The sequence below is a fragment of the Homo sapiens genome, chromosome 1 (assembly GCF_000001405.40).
Source record: "Homo sapiens chromosome 1, GRCh38.p14 Primary Assembly".
Lineage (NCBI taxonomy): Eukaryota > Metazoa > Chordata > Mammalia > Primates > Hominidae > Homo > Homo sapiens.
The window spans coordinates 7,841,358-7,857,125 of record NC_000001.11 but is presented as its reverse complement, the minus strand read 5'-3'; the positions used below and the strand labels follow the sequence as shown (position 1 = coordinate 7,857,125).

Sequence of the window (15,768 nt, the reverse complement as noted above, 5' to 3'; positions counted from 1 at the left end):
TCCTTCCTTCCTTCCTTCATTCCTTTTCTTCCTTCCTTCCTTCCCTCTCTCTCTCTCTTTCTTTTCCTACAGAGTCTTCCTTTGTGGCCCAGGCTGGAGTGCAATGGCACGATCTCGGCTCACTGCAACCCCCACCTCCTGGGTTCAAGCAATTCTCCTGCCTTAGCCTCCCAAGTAGCTGGGATCATAGGCGCCCACCACTACTCCCGGCTAATTTTTGTATTTTTAGTAGAGATGGGGTTTCACCATATTGGCCAGGCTGGTCTCAAACGCCTGGCCTCAGGTGATGCACCTGCCTCGGCCCCCCAAAGTGCTGGGCTTACAAGTCTGAGCCACCGTGCCCGGCTGTTTTCTTAAATTGGATGGAAGTGGTTTCTCTTGGACGTTAGGTTCCGTCCTCTGTCCGACCCTGCTGGCACATGGGGGTGCTGAGAAATATCTGTCGAAAGAGTTAACAAGTCTTAAGTGATTCGAGCACTTTCCATCTTAGAGGACAGTGTGCGAGCACTCGCCCTGGGCTCTCCTGCCAGCAGGGGTCCCCCAGGGACTCTCTTCACTTTATTTGCCCTCGCAGGAATCTTCTTTCAGTTCCTCCTCCTCGGAGGCCACGCTTCCCCGACTTCTCTCGCTGGAGGCTCCACACTCCACTCACCACTGAACGGATGGCTGCCCTGTTCCTTTCGGCTCCTGCTCAGATGCCCCTTTTCCAGGGCATCCCGAGGGCCCTGTCTGAAATCACACTTGCCCTGACTACCTGCCCCTGTACTGTCTCCTTGTTATTGTTCTTCATAGCAATAAACAATTCCTACAGCGTATGTTAATGTTGTTGTCTATCGCCTCCAGTCAGAAAGTTCATGAGAGTAGAAACTTTTTATTTTGTTCACCGTTCTTTCCCCTAAACAGAGACTCCCATAGGCTGGTGCCCCACTCACTGATTCAACAAATATTTATCGAGTCTGCCTACTATAAAGGATAAATACATAAAATAGTGCGATAGCCAGGTGTGGAGGCTCACACCTGGAATCCCAGCACTTCCGGGGGCCGAGGCAGGAGAATCTCTGGAGCCCAGGAGTTTGAGGCCAGCCTGGGCAACATAGCAAGACCCTGTCTGTACAAAAAATAAAAAAGCCATGCATGGTGGTTTGCGCCTGTAATCCCAGAGGGTTGGAAGGCTGAGGCTGAGGCAGGAGGATTGCTTGAGGTTAAGATTTTGAGACCAGCCTGGGCAACACATTGAGACCCCATCTGAAAAAAAAAAAACTAGCTGAGCGTGGTGGCATGTGCCTGTGGTTCCAGCTATTTGGAAGGCCAAGGTAGAATTGCTTGAGCCTGGGAGGTCAAGGCTACAGTGAGTCATGATCACGCCACTGAACTCCAGCCTGGGTGACAGAGTGAGATCCTGTCTCAAAATAATAAAATAATAATAATAATAATAATAATAATGGCCAGATGTGGTGGCTCACACCTGTAATCCCAGCACTTTGGGAGGCTGAGGCAGGTGGATCACTTAAGGCCAGGAGGTCAAGACCAGCCTGAAGTCCTTTTCAAACCTTTTGTCATATTGCCCAGGCTGGAATACAGCAGCATGATCTCAGCTCACTGCAACCTCCGACTCCCAGGTTGAAGCTATCCTCCTGCCTCAGCCTCCGGAGTAGCTGTGACTACAGGGGCCCGCCACCACGCCTGGCTAATTCTTTTATCTTCTGTAGAGACAGGGTTTCACCATGTTGGCCAGGCTTGTCTCAAACTCTTGACCTCAGGTGATCTGCCCGCCTCAGCCTCCCAAAATGCTGGGATTATAGGCGTGAGCCACCGCGCCTTGCTCGGCTTTTTCATTTTCTTACCAGTATCTTGAGCAAATGTTTCTAATTTTGATAAAGTCCAATTTATCAGTTTTGTTCATCTATTGATTAATTTACAAAAATGGTATCTATGGTATACATCATGACTTGTTTGTTTGTTTTGAGAAGGAGTTTTGCTCTTGCCACCCAGGCTGGAGTGCAGTGGTGTGATTTTGGCTCACTGCAACCTCTGCCTCCCAGGTTCAAGCAATTCTCCTGCCTCAGCCTCCCAAGTAGCTGGGACTACAGGCACCTGCCACCACGCCCAGCTAATTTTTGTATTTTTAGTGGAGACAGGGTTTCACCACATTGGCCAGGCTGGTCTTGAGCTCCTGACCTCAGGTGATCCACCTGCCTCGGCCTCCCAAAGTGCTGGGATTACAGGTGTGAGCCACTGTGCCTGGCCATGATTATTATTATTATTATTATTGTTATTAGTTTGATGTTTTGATATATGCATACATTGTGGAATGGCTGAATCAAGCTAATTCGCATGTGTATTACTTCACGTTTTTAGCATTTTTTTGTGATGAGAACACAAAATCGATTTTTAGAAATCTTCAACTATACATTGTTATTAATCAGAGTCACCCTGAGGTACATAGATCTCTTGAACTTATTCCTCCTGTCTCAATTTTTTTCCTGTGTGATTTGTGTCTTGTCTAAGAAATATTTGCCTAACCTGAGGTTGTGAAGGTGTTCATGTTTTTTCCCCTAGTAGTTCTATCATTACGTTGTAACCACTTTTCTTTCTTCTTTTTTTTTTTTTTTTTGAGACATGGTCTCGCTCTGTCACCCAGGCTGGAGTGCAGTGGGACGATCTTGGCTCACTGCAGCCTCAACTTCCCAGGCTCAAGTGATACAGGCATGCACCACCACACCTGGTTAATTGTTGTATTTTTGGTAGAGACAGTGTTTCTCCTTCTCTTTTTTTTTTTTTTTAGACAGAGTCTCGCTCTGTCACCCAGGCTGGACTGCTGTGGCGCAATCTTGGCTCACTGCACCCTCCGCCTCCTGGATTCAAGCAATTCTCCTGCCTCAGCCTCCTGAGTAGCTGGGATTACAGGCACGTGCCACCATGCCTGGCTAATTTTTGTATTTTTAGTAGAGACGGGGTTTCACCATGTTGGTCAGGCTGGTCTCAAACTCCTGACCTCGTGATCCATCCGCCTCAGCCTCCCAAAGTGCTGGGATTACAGGCGTGAGCCACTGCACCCGGCCGAGACAGTGTTTCTCTATGTTGCCCAGGCTGGTCTTGAAATCCTAAACTCAAGTGATCCTCCTGCCTCGGCCTCTCAAAGTGCTGAAATTACAGGCATGAGCCACCGTGCCTGGCCTATCTTTGTAACTTTTGTGTTTAGGTCCACAGAAAGTTTTGAGCAAAGAACTACCATGATCTGACTTATGCAGATGCTTCTGGCATCACTCTGCTGTGCTGAGCCTGTGGCAGGCCCGAAGGCAGACTTCAGGACGCCTGTCGGGGACCTTTCCACCCATCCGGGCTTGGACCAGCTTGGGCAGAGTACAGTTGGGAGTAGAGGCCACATTCTGGAAATGTTTATCAGCGAGTTTTCTGGTGTTAAGTCCTTCCTCCCTCCTTGCTGAATAATAATCAACTTTATGAAGTTATTTCCTTTCTCTGAAGATTGAAGTGCTTGCGGCTTCACATGAGGCCACGTGTATGTACAGAATTGTCTTGAGCCTGGAGCAATGTTTGCTATGTATTTTAACTTTTCACTGTTTTAAAGGAAATAGCTGGTTTTACGTTTTAATCCACAGATTGTCATTCTTCAGGGATGGCAGCCCTAAACACAGCATGGCAACTCATCTACTCACTCATGAAAGATTAAAAAATGGAAACCAACGTATTTCATCTTATGCTCTGCGTCACTTCTGCTCGGACTCATAAATCCACGTCTCTTTGCTTTGGCCACTTCAACTCATATCCAAGCCTTCCTTTAATTCATGATTTATTGCTGTAAGTTGCCTCTTTTGCCAGATTTATAAACTCACTGTTCTTTATATAATACCTACTTTGTACACTAGGCAACAAGACAGTTAATTTATTGTCTATGACTTGTTACCTTGAAAAATTACATCAATGCAAAGTGATTGCCTTTTAGCCTCCATAGCCAATAAATTCATTTTTTTTTTTTTTTTGGAGAGGATGATGTCAGGTCATAGGATGATATATATAATCAGTGAGCAGGCAGAATGAGGAGACAGTTGAAAGTTCTCTACAACAGAAGCCAAGAAGGAAGCCGTCTATCTTGTGGCGATCATGTATAAGCTGGCCTCCTGCTGTTTGCTTTTCATAGGATTCTTAAATCCTCTCTTATCTCTTCCTCTCCTTGACTCCAGGGAAATATCCTTTCAACTCTCAGGTAAGATTTTTTTTTTCCCCTTATGTTAGTCTTGAAAGAGCCTTTACTAGTCTTAAATTCAATGTTAGAGATAAGAATGGGATTCCTGCTCGAAGGAGTCTGGAGTCTTGTTCTCTCAATAGTCCCAGCTTTGAAAAGAATATTAAAGGATCCTTACTGCACATTTTAGATGTAGTAATGGATACAGTTTTTTTTCTGTCTCTACAATGTAAAAGGAGAAGAGGATAATTGCTTGTTTCATGTTACCTCTGTACTCTTGTTTTGGGTAATATATACATTTTTCCAATTTTAAAAATTGCATGAAATTTAAAACATCATTACTTTTAGTTTTTACTTTAAATGAACTGGTTGAATGTAGCACTGGTTGTTCTAATTATAGATTATTAATGGATTTATTTGTTTCACCTTTTGTTTAAAAAAATCATCTGATATGTGTTCTACGAAACAAAAATGTTTACTAAAAATTTTTTAGTAAATGACAAACTAGGGAACTAGGGAGTTCATAGACTTCCAAGTATATTGATCGTTTCCTTTTGATTTATGTTAATTCAGTTTAAGTCTAAGTTGAGTTAAAGAAATACACATCAGTCAAGTAGTTTCTCATTTTGCCATTATCTTTCCATTTAGTTAGAGAAATGAGAAAGCTAATGCTTGGGGATTAGGTTCCATCAAAAACTTAACTAGATTTAATCTTATCTTTAATCTTGAGTACTTTTTAAATAGGCTTTTTTTAAATAAAGAAAAAAAACAAACAAACCCTCTTTTAAGCCAAGGATTTTATAGTTTCTCGTCTCTAAAAGTTCATCCCAAGCAGCTTTCTGATGATCGTCAAGCACTGTCATCAGGCACTGCCAACCAACTTCCCGAGTCACCGAGATGATCATTGGCTGTCCTACTAATAGTTAAACACTGGCATTAACTTTACTGAATCTCTGCTATTTACAAAGAAACAGCACACATCTCAAGATGAAATAAGTGAAAATACTCAGCTACTACTGTCATCTTAAAAAATTTTACAAGTAATTTAAGAAACATAGATGAAATGAGTGTAGCATCTCACACAAATTCGAAACAAGTGGCAGCTTATCGCAGAATTTGTTCTCATTTATTTCTCCAGAAATGTGCTTTCCTATCAGCATTTACAGATGATGAAATTTTATAGATTTTCATTAACAGTCTTTAGAAGTGCTGTGAATGTGCTCTGATGCCTTTATGATGATCTGCTCACTGTCCTCCAATCAAGGTTGCAGCTATTTGTAAGCCTGTGGCACGCTGGTCCCACACATGGCCTCCCACCCTGACTCCCACAGCCTCGAATCGCAACACAGCAGCAGGTCTGCACTTACCACGCCTCACACTCCGGTGTGCCCTTTCCACACACCTTAAGCGCACTTACCATGCATTCTATATGCCATCTGGTCGACCACATTTCACATAGGAAATGCCACAATCAAGTTCCTTACAGATGATTTTGAAGCCAATTCTAAGTATAATAATTGTATTGAAATCTTGAAGTTCAGTAAAAGAAGAGGTGATACCATCCTACTGGCTTTATAGGAAGATTGTAAACGATCTTTCTTTTTCCTCTCCAATGTCACCACCCAAATATCTAAAAGCAAAAAGGCAGTAGGCAGCAGTAGATAAGCAGAAATGAGGGAGAGTCAGACTTTTTGAACCAAAATGGTTTTGAGAAAGGCTGTGGCTTATCCCTCAGCTCTTGTTCGAGGCAGCCGAGGGGCTTGGCTCATCACGCGGGTGTCAGATCCACGTCTCCCGGCTTCCCATTCTGCTGGCTGGCACACGGGCTGGTAGCATTTCCACCTCTTCTAGAATACCACTGATGACACGTCATGAACTCAGCGTTGGAAGTTTTTCTAGTGTTCATCTCCCTATCTCTGGTGCTCGCCAAAGACACAAGGAACAGAAATAACTAACTGAAGGATGAACCCAATTCTAAGTATCTGTTTTTACTCTGTAGCACCTCATGAAGACGCGCGCTTAACTCCGGAGGAGCTAGAAAGAGCTTCCCTTCTACAGATACTGCCAGAGATGCTGGGTGCAGAAAGAGGGGATATTCTCAGGAAAGCAGGTAAAATGCTTCTCATGTTTATAGCGTGTCTGATTTAATTGCTACTGAACTTACCGTCTGTCCTCATCTAGAAGAGGTAAAGCTCTATTTTGGAATATAAAGATGAGCTATATAAAATAAGTAATTACCAACACTCTCCCCTCCCGGCCTGTGCAACCTTCTTTTCCCCAGCAGCTCCTTGCTCGCACTGTGCTCTTTGGTACCTCAGCATTTTGTCTTTCTGTGTGGACTTTTATTTTTGCGGGGTAGAGCTTGGTGGTAATTATTCCAGTTTCCAGTGAGTGCAATTTAAAATCCTAGTTTCCCGTTTACTGAAAACTTAAAGTAATCTTTCTGTACTCCAGTTTCTTAATCTGTAATCAGGAATGATTAAGTTTCCACCTCAGAAGGTAACTTGTGAAGAGTCAATGAGTCAAGGCAAGTAAAATGCTCGAGTCACACAGAAAGTCATTAATAAAATGTCAGCTTATTCCCCCGTGGCCACATTCCCCCAAGCATTGACACATATGCTCAGGAAGTTCTGGAAACAAAATTGAGCCTTTTGCTGGGTGCGGTGGCTCACACCTGTAATCCCAGCACTTTGGGAGGCTGAGGTGGGCGGATCACTTGAAGTCAGGAGTTTAGGACCAGCCTGGCCAACATGGTGAAAACCCATCTCGACTAAAAATACAAATATCAGCCGGGCATGGTGGCGGGCACCTGTAATCCCAGCTACTAGGGAGGCTGAGGCAGGAGAATTGCTTGAACCCAGGAGGCAGAGGTTGTGGTGAGCCAAGATCTCACCACTGCACTCCAGCCTGGGCAACAGAGCAAGACTCTGTCTCAAAAAAAAAAAAAAAAATTTGAGCCTTTTAAGATAGGTATTGTTTAATAGACAGGAGTTCATTTGTTATAAAATATCTTTGACGAGCTACTGGACTGCGAAGTTACTGAGGACAATGCAGTGACTTCTGTGAATTCGAGATAAGAACAGGAGTGCCTGTCTGTCTGCATTCAAGAAAAGCTTGCTGCAGTGTGGAAAAAGACCAGAAACTAGACATAATTTAGTAATATTATTTTGTATATTTTAAAACAAGCATACAAGAGAAACAACAGATCTGATGAACTGGCTTCAAAACTGTTTTTCAGACTCAAGTACCAACATTTTTAACCCAAGAGGAAATTTGAGAAAGGTAAGTGACTCTATTTATGAGTTAGGTTTAAAAAGGTGAACATTCTGTACTGGTTTTACAGGACTCTGAATTCATGAACTAGAGGAGTGTTCTTGGTGGAAACCACACCTTAAAATAATTGGCCAGCATGACCAGGCGCGGTAGCTCATGCCTGTGATCCCAGCACTTTGGGAGGCCGAGGCGGGCGGACCACCTGAGGTCAGAAGTTCGAGACCAGCCTGGCCAACATGGTGAAACCCTGTCTCTACTAAAAATACAAAAATTAGCTGGGCGTGGTGGCACCTGTAATCCCAGCTACTCGGGAGACTGAGGCAGGAGAATCGCTTGAACCCGGGAGGCAGAGGTTGCAGTGAGCTGAGATCGCGCCACTGCACTCCAGCCTGGGGGACAAGAATGAGACTTCATCTCAAAATAATAATAATAATAATTGGCCAGCATTATTTCAAAGCATTAATTTTTCCAAATTTTGATTGATATAAGATCTGAATGCAACAGGAACCTACCCAGTGCCTGTTTTGGGTAAATCAAATAAGTTGTGAAAGAATGAAAAAAATGGGTGAGGTCCCTGCTCTCCAGTCTGGCATCCACTTGTGCTCTCATTCACCATCTAACATGCGGCCCACCGCCAGCAGCACCGGGAGCACCTGGAAGCCAGTGAGGGATGCAGGATCTTAGGCCCACCTAGGACCTGCGGAAGCAAAATCTGCATCTTAACAAGATCCCCAGGTGATTCACATGCATGGGAAAGTGTGAAGGGCACTGCAAGACAACATCTAATGGAGGAAGGCCATGCTCCAGACATTGACCTGAACGATGTACAGAAGGCCGGGTGCGGTGGCTCACACTTGTCATCCCAGCACGGGAGGCCGAGGTAGGCGGATTGCTTGAGGCCAGGAGTTCAAGACCAGCCTGGGCAACACAGCGAAACCCCGTCTCTACAAAAAATACAAAACTTAGCCAGGCGTGGTGGCATGCACCTGTAATCCCAGCTATTCGGGAGGCTGGTGCAGGAGGATCACTTGAACCTGGAGGCGGGGGTTGCAGTGAGAGGAGATCGCACTACTTCACTCCAGCCCGGGGAACAGAGCAAAACTCCATCTCAAAAGAATACAATACAATACAATACAGTATACACAATACATACAATACACAGAAGACAATACATGCACAGAACATGTTACTATTTATTTATTTATTTATTGAGACAGGGTCTTGCTCTGTTACCCAGGCTGGAGTGCAGTGGTGTGATCTTGGCTCACTGCAACATCCACCTCCCAGGTTCAAGCAATTCTAATGCCTCAGCCTCCCGAGTAGCTGGGACTACAGGAGCCCGCCACCACACCCAGCTAATTTTTGTAGAGACGAGGTTTCATCATGTTGCCCAGGCTGGTCTCAAACTCTTAGGCTCAAGTGATCTGCCCACCTCAGCCTCCTAAAGTGCTAGGATTATAGGCATGAGCCACCTGCCCAGCCGCTGAAATGATTTAAATAGAAATCGGTCAATGAGGGTTTAGGAAAATTCAGGACAATCGCTGGGCTGAACAGACTGGAAGGACACTCATTAGAGGTAGGGAGGTGGGCACAGGAGCCCCACGGGCCCGGGACACTCTTGTTACAATTATAGTCCAGGGAAAAATGCAAATACTTTTAAGAAGTCCAGTGTCTTGACTCAAGATTCCTTTTTCTTATAGGAATCGTCACTCGTTGGTAACTTATCTGTTTTTTTTTGTTGTTGTTGTTCGTTTGGATTGTTTTAGTTTCAGGATTTCTCTGGACAAGATCCTAACATTTTACTGAGTCATCTTTTGGCCAGAATCTGGAAACCATACAAGAAACGTGAGACTCCTGATTGCTTCTGGAAATACTGTGTCTGAAGTGAAATAAGCATCTGTTAGTCAGCTCAGAAACACCCATCTTAGAATATGAAAAATAACACAATGCTTGATTTGAAAACAGTGTGGAGAAAAACTAGGCAAACTACACCCTGTTCATTGTTACCTGGAAAATAAATCCTCTATGTTTTGCACATATCATGAGTGGTTATTTTCCCTATAAACATGTCCTGAAAATTTATAATTATTCTTTTCTTCCATTTATCCTTAGAAAATTCTTTGACATTTCAGAAGCAAAGCTAATGAATGAACAGAAGCAAACACTAAGAAAAAGTCACAAAAGTTAAACTTTTGTTAAATGGCAAATCATTTAAATAAACTACATTATCTTAGCTATGATGTCCTCTCAACCTTTTAAAAAGACAACATATTACTTTTAAAAAATAAATCACAGCCAGGCACAGTAGCTCACGCCTGTAATCCTAGCCCTTTGGGAAGCTGAAATGGGTGGATCACTTGAGACCAGGAGTTTGAGATCATCCTGGGAACATGACAAAACCCTGTCTCTACCAAAAATACAAAAATTAGCAGGGCATGGTGGCAGGTGCCTGTAGTCCCAACTGCTCAGGAGGCTGAGGCACGAGAATCGCTCAGACCTTTGGGGTGGAGCTTGCAGTGAGCCGAGATCGGACCACTACACTCCAGCCTGGGCAACAGAGGAAGAGTGTCTTGAAAATAAACAATAAAATAAATAAAATAAAAAATAAAATAAAACAAAATAAAAAGAAAACAGTATCTTGGCTTGGAAAAAATCTCTAGTTACGGGTGTCTGAGATGAAGGGCGGGAGTGTCTGATGCTCCTTGGTTTCTGAAGTTCGTGGGGGAAGTTCATGTGCTGAGATTCTTTCTCTTGGCTGACCAAAGTCCTGAACACTTGACAATTTTAATCTTTTAACATTGAAACTTGTATGATCTCAGCGTCTGTGAGCTCAAGGATCACAGTTTCTTACACCGGGAAAAACACCTTGATGTCTCTTGCAGAGAGAAGAAAGCTGAGGCAAGATTTAAGATTGTGGAAGAAAGAGCCTGGCTTACGAATTTTTAAAAACTATGTGTGTAAGTACTGACTTCTATTCCGTGAATACATCTGTATAAATGTGGTTTATGTATGTATAGAATATACAGTGTGAACTCCTGAGAGTTCTGTGTGGTTCTACACAGAACCATGTATAGGGGAGGCCTGGATGTTTATGAGAAACTTGTTTCTCTCATTGAGCTCTGACATCCCACCACATTCCAGAGGGGTCTGCAACAACCAAAGAGCAACACACGACTTGTGTCAATCTTGTCACTGACCATCACAAGTTTCCTAGAGAGTACAGGTCTCAGAGCGTTTACCCTAAAGACATCAAGAACTTGGCCGGGTGGGGTGGCTCAAGCCTGCAATCCCAGCACTTTGGGAGGCTGAGGCGGGTGGATCACGAGGTCAGGAGATCGAGACCATCCTGGCTAACATGGTGAAACCTCGTCTCTACTAAAAATACAAAAAAATTAGCCGGGCATGGTGGCGGGCTTGTAGTCCCAGCTACTCGGGAGGCTGAGGCAGGAGAATAGCGTGAACCCAGGAGGTGGAGCTTGCAGTGAGCGGAGATTGCACCACTGCCCTCCAGCCTGGCAACAGAGCGAGGCTCCGTCTCAAAAAAAAAAAAAAAAAAAAAAAGACATCAAGAACAAATCTAAGGGAGAGATGTTTTAAACTGGAATGAATGTGCAAGCTCAGAAACATGCTAACATTGAGGACAGCTATGATAACACTGTGGTGTGTCTCTCAGTGTTGAAATTAAACCAGTTCTCTGGAACACAATGTTGGCACCATAAAACTATTCCTGTATCAGAGATAACTTAAAAGTGGAATTCCACTGCAGAATTCTGAAGTCCCTACTCATTTTAGTGTATCAGGTGATGATTCATACAGATTGGGGCTTTGCATCAGGTTTCTAGGGTCAGATTCCTACTCCCAGTGCACACCAGCTGTGAGTCTCTGATCCAGTTACTTGACTCCCCCTGCCTCAGTTTACTTCTCTGTAAAATGACAATAACACAATGCTTATTTCACAGGGCAGTTGTGAGGATTAAATAATTCACATCAAGCACTTAGACCAGCACCTGTCAGAGTAGTATACACGCAAAGTATACTTAGCTATTTTTCTTCCTGCTCTTATTATGGTTTGTTATAGAAAAGAAAGGTGCAAATGGTCTGAAAGGTGTAAACTTTAAAAAGCTCTGTTGGCTTCAGGATCTTGTTCCCTATTTTAATTTCTAGATTTTGTTGCCACCAGTTACACAGTCAGATCTTGTACACAGGTTCACCCTAGCTCCCACAAGCTTAGCGTTCCAATAATGGAACACTAGGTGTAAAAGGGCTAAATAAGCCAATACATTTCAAAGTGCCTGCATCTTCATCCTCCACATAGTAGGTGCTCAGACACATTGGCCAAGGCAAACACAGAATGTGCCTGAGAAACACAAGGTTAACTAATATGAGGGCCCCTCAATAGATCATAAGAAGCACTTCTAAATGATACAGAATACACATTCAAAGATTTGTTGACACAGGGCAGGACAATTTCTCACGTTTTACATGTACAGAGTTTATTTGTTGTTTTTACTTAAAAAGATACCCAACTGAAATATTACTAATGATTAAAAACAAATTCAGAGTTAATTACAAATTCAGTTGAAACAAAATTTCAGTTTGGATTAAATTTACACTGTGAATTACAATGAAGTGTCACTCAATTGCAAAATGATTTCCATTCATACAGCATTTTGTTTTTCATAAATTTTGACCTCTGACCAAAGAAAACACAGCTTTTTGGGTAACATTCATGAAAACATTGAAGCCTATAATATAAATTTTTATTACCACTTTCAATAGTCATTAATATAAAAAGTTAACAAATTTAAACAACAAAGTTTAAGCTGGGGAGAGCCCCCTCGGGGGGCATCGGTCAAGCTGCTGAACCCCCTGCTCACCGCCAGCAGCAGGTGCAACCTGGGAGTGCGTGAATGCGTCCACCCACAGGAGGAGCGCTCCTCATGCTCTGACAGTTCTGCGACAAGCACCAGTTTCAAATCAAACCTAGTATAACAAGTACTCCATAAAACGTGTGCTAAGGCAAAGAAATAAGCACATTTGGATAATACAAATATCCAGAAACAATGGAAAAGAAAGGCTTCTATTAGAGAACAGAAGGCTTAGCATATATGAGTGCGCAATGATCCTGATAGCTACGGATACTGTTTTTATTTACAGTGGCAAAAACTTTATTACTACAGAAGGTCACTGACAGACAATCTACTGGCTGGTTAATTGTTTCAAATTTGATTCTCTATCAAGCAAAAATATCACACAACCTGATCAACACACACACAAACGCTTCAGAAATCACTTAACTATCAAGATGGAGCAGACTATGAGAGCTATTTATAAAACACGAATATTTGCATGGAACTGCTTAATATCAGAAAATTCCAAGAACTGTCAAAGGCAGCATTTGAAAATAGTTCTGACACCTTAAGATGGAATTACCATCCAGAAAGCCACTACTTTGAAAGGAGATCTGAGCTATGAGGATGGTCATCATGGATGAAAAGGTCGATTTTCCTAATCATTATCAGGACGCATTTACAAAAAGCTGTAAAACTTCAAAGGAGAAAAGTATTTTCCTTAAAAAACCATAAAAAACCAAAAACAAAAAAAGGAAAAAAAAATAAATTAGTTTGTTGCAAGTTATATAAAGACAACAGGTTACTGTAACCCTCATTTTCTTCTATTTGTTTTTTCTGATCTGCAGGGGTGTGAATTTCATCTATCATTCCAAGTTTAAGAAGGAATCAGGGACTTCTCTAAAAAGCACCAGAGAGTGAGCTGATTTATCAAGTAAACAATCACACTCACTTCTTAAAAGACACAACTACAAACGCCATAGAAAGCGGTGACTGATGGAGCCTGCAGGACCCTGTGGGCGAGGACAACTGGGCTCGCCTGGACGTTTTCTCTTTTGCAGTCCCCACAACACTGCCCTGTTCAAGGGCAAACAAAAGGCAGTGCCAGTCAGACCTGTGGTAGGGCTGGAGCGACCTCTTTTGTATAAATTGATTGGAAAGAAAGAGTTAACTGTTTTGGTAAGAATGAAAATTTAAACACAGAAGTATGTAAGAATGATACTAGCTTTTACATTACTTGTAAAACATTTTACAATCATTATTTTAAAAACAAAAATACTCAAAAGGGCAACAGCACTGGGTAAGAAGCTCTTTCATTTTAATATTACACATGCAAATGCTAACTGAAACTTACAAGAATAGGCCCATGGTAAGCGGATCGATTTTTAAGATAAGACTTTCAGAATTTCACTGGAAGGTGGGAAATCAATAGGAAAGGGATCTACAAGGATGAAGGCCAAAACTCAACCCCCAAAACCTGGTTATCCCAGATATGCTAATGGACAGTATGTGCTAATGTGTTGTGAGAAAACCGGAATGTTTCATCTTAATTATGGAGGGGAACGCCAGGTTGAATGAAGCCTGTATGAACGTACTACATTCATGGAAACCATTATGAAAAGTACACAACCTGTAGGTGGCATTTCTTCAAGCACTCTAAGGGGAAAATGACTTATGTAACAGAACAAAATAAATGAGGCTAAGGTTTGGGGCTCATTCTAGCTATACTTCTAATTATAATTTACTCTGGGTGACATCTGAAATAAAGATACACATACCTCTTTAGAGGCCATCCAATCTCTTTAGAAGACAATTCAACTACAAAAAGAGCCTAACTGGCCATTTTAATATATCAGGAACAAAGAGAAGTAAGATTCTGTATACAATGTCTGCTTCAAAAAGATTACGTGTATTAAAAAATCAAGAAGAAAAAATCTTAACATTCAATGATAACTTCATGGTCATTTAAAAGTCCAGGACTTAAAAAGGTCTGTCTGTGTAACACGTCTTGGAAAGGGTATGAAGGTTCATCCTCACAGTCACTCAACAGCTGTCTTCTACCAGAACCTGACCACAGGATGTGGCCGCACCATCAGCTGAATCTTCATTTTCACAAGTGACACAGGCCTCCAAAAAAGAACAAAGCAGGCGAGTTACTTGATGTCAATGTCACCTAAAGAGTTTTAAAACAGTAAAAGGCTGGTCACATGTTTCTAAATCCCCAACTTATTCATGTCTGAAAATATTTCATTATAGTTCATTCTTTATTATTATTATAACTATTTTTATTTTTTTTTTTGAGACAGAGTCTTGCGGTGTCACCCAGGCTGGAATGCAGTGGTGCGATCTCAGCTCACTGCAACCTCCGCCTCCCAGGTTCAAGCGATTCTCTTGCCTCAGCCTCCCAAGTAGCTGGGACCACAGGTGCCCACCACCGCGCCCAGCTAATTTTTGTTTTTTAGTAGAGATAGGGTTTCATTATGTTGGCCAGGCTGGTCTTGAACCCCTGACCTCGTGATCCGCCCACCTTGGCCTCCCAAACTGCTGAGATTACAGGTAGTAGACACCGCGCCCAGCCTCATTCTTTATTATTAAAAGGCAAATGACAAATTGTTTAAATACAGTCATGTGCCACATGACGTTTCGGTCAAAAACAGACTGCATATATAATGGTGGTCTTGTAAGATTATCCTACCACATTTTTATGGTACCTTTTCTATGTTTAGATACACAAGTAACACTGTGTTACAACGGCCTACAGTATTCAGGACAGTAACAGCTGTACAGGTTTGTAGCCTAGGATCAAAAGGCTGTCCCATAGGGCCTAGGAGTGATTGTAGCAAGCTACTCCACTGAGGTTTGTATGAGTACACTCTAGGACGCTTGCACAAAACATCCCCATTACTAAGTGGTGAAAGGACTGTGCTTTTGTTTAAATTGCTGTGGGGCTCATTTTTCATATACCTGTCTATTTACAACCAGAACAACACTGAAAAAAACAAAGACACTTACAATAACCAGCCCAGCTCCTGCTTTTTGGTGAGACCCTACCCAGCCATTCTTACATGACAGACACTCATTCTTTTCTTTGAAAATGGAGATGGGGAGATTATTCTGGGAAGATGGCAGAGTAGGAAGACTAGGACTCTGTCTCCTCACCTAGACAACAACTGGACTGACAAAATGAGTCCGAGGTAACTATTTGGAACTCGAGTCTATCTGAACGCCTGCAACTTTCTAGGAAATGCTTAGACGGTAAGCTGTGGTTGCCTGTGGTCAATTTCAGCTTGAAGCACAGCAGCAACTACCCATCCCTGACCTTGGACAAGGCACGTATTCCTGGAGCAGCCTGCACACAGCTTGTGGGAGTCAGAGTGGGCAATAAGGACCCCGTCTTCCAACAATCATAAAACAAGAATCAATAAGCCCTGGGAAAGGGGA

The 15,768-nt window shown here is 42.6% G+C and overlaps 2 protein-coding genes across 51 annotated transcripts in view, besides 1 other annotated feature; one reads left to right on the top strand and one right to left on the bottom strand.

Annotated features, from left to right (window-relative positions):
• The window catches only part of UTS2 (urotensin 2), a 65,638-nt gene extending 56,124 nt beyond the window's left edge, over window positions 1–9,514 (top strand). The window contains exons 2-6 of one of the 4 annotated variants that reach the window (XM_011540537.3): window positions 3,621–3,819; window positions 4,203–4,225; window positions 6,204–6,314; window positions 7,443–7,486; window positions 9,244–9,514. In XM_011540537.3, the coding sequence (XP_011538839.1) occupies window positions 3,695–3,819; window positions 4,203–4,225; window positions 6,204–6,314; window positions 7,443–7,486; window positions 9,244–9,360 (420 nt within the window). In that variant the 5' untranslated portion in view covers window positions 3,621–3,694 and the 3' untranslated portion in view covers window positions 9,361–9,514. Of the gene's footprint in view, window positions 1–3,620; window positions 3,820–4,005; window positions 4,226–6,203; window positions 6,315–7,442; window positions 7,487–9,243 lie in introns of those variants that run through there. The other 3 variants (NM_021995.2, XM_011540538.2, NM_006786.4) reach the window with 3 other exon arrangements.
• Window positions 3,853–4,541: an enhancer, noted in NCBI's record as "NANOG hESC enhancer chr1:7912645-7913333 (GRCh37/hg19 assembly coordinates)". NCBI's record gives its function as "activates a minimal SCP1, AML or CMV promoter by ChIP-STARR-seq in naive H9 embryonic stem cells {active_cell/tissue: H9 hESC(naive)}" and the evidence as "EXISTENCE:reporter gene assay evidence [ECO:0000049][PMID:30033119]".
• Window positions 11,949–15,768, bottom strand: part of PER3 (period circadian regulator 3) — a 60,887-nt gene continuing 57,067 nt past the window's right edge. For 34 of the 47 annotated variants that reach the window (XM_047433435.1, XM_047433442.1, XM_047433437.1 and 31 more), the window contains one exon: window positions 11,949–14,454. In XM_047433435.1, the coding sequence (XP_047289391.1) occupies window positions 14,371–14,454 (84 nt within the window). In that variant the 3' untranslated portion in view covers window positions 11,949–14,370. Of the gene's footprint in view, window positions 14,501–15,768 lie in introns of all 47 variants that reach the window. The other 13 variants (XM_047433449.1, XM_047433457.1, XM_047433459.1 and 10 more) reach the window with 1 other exon arrangement.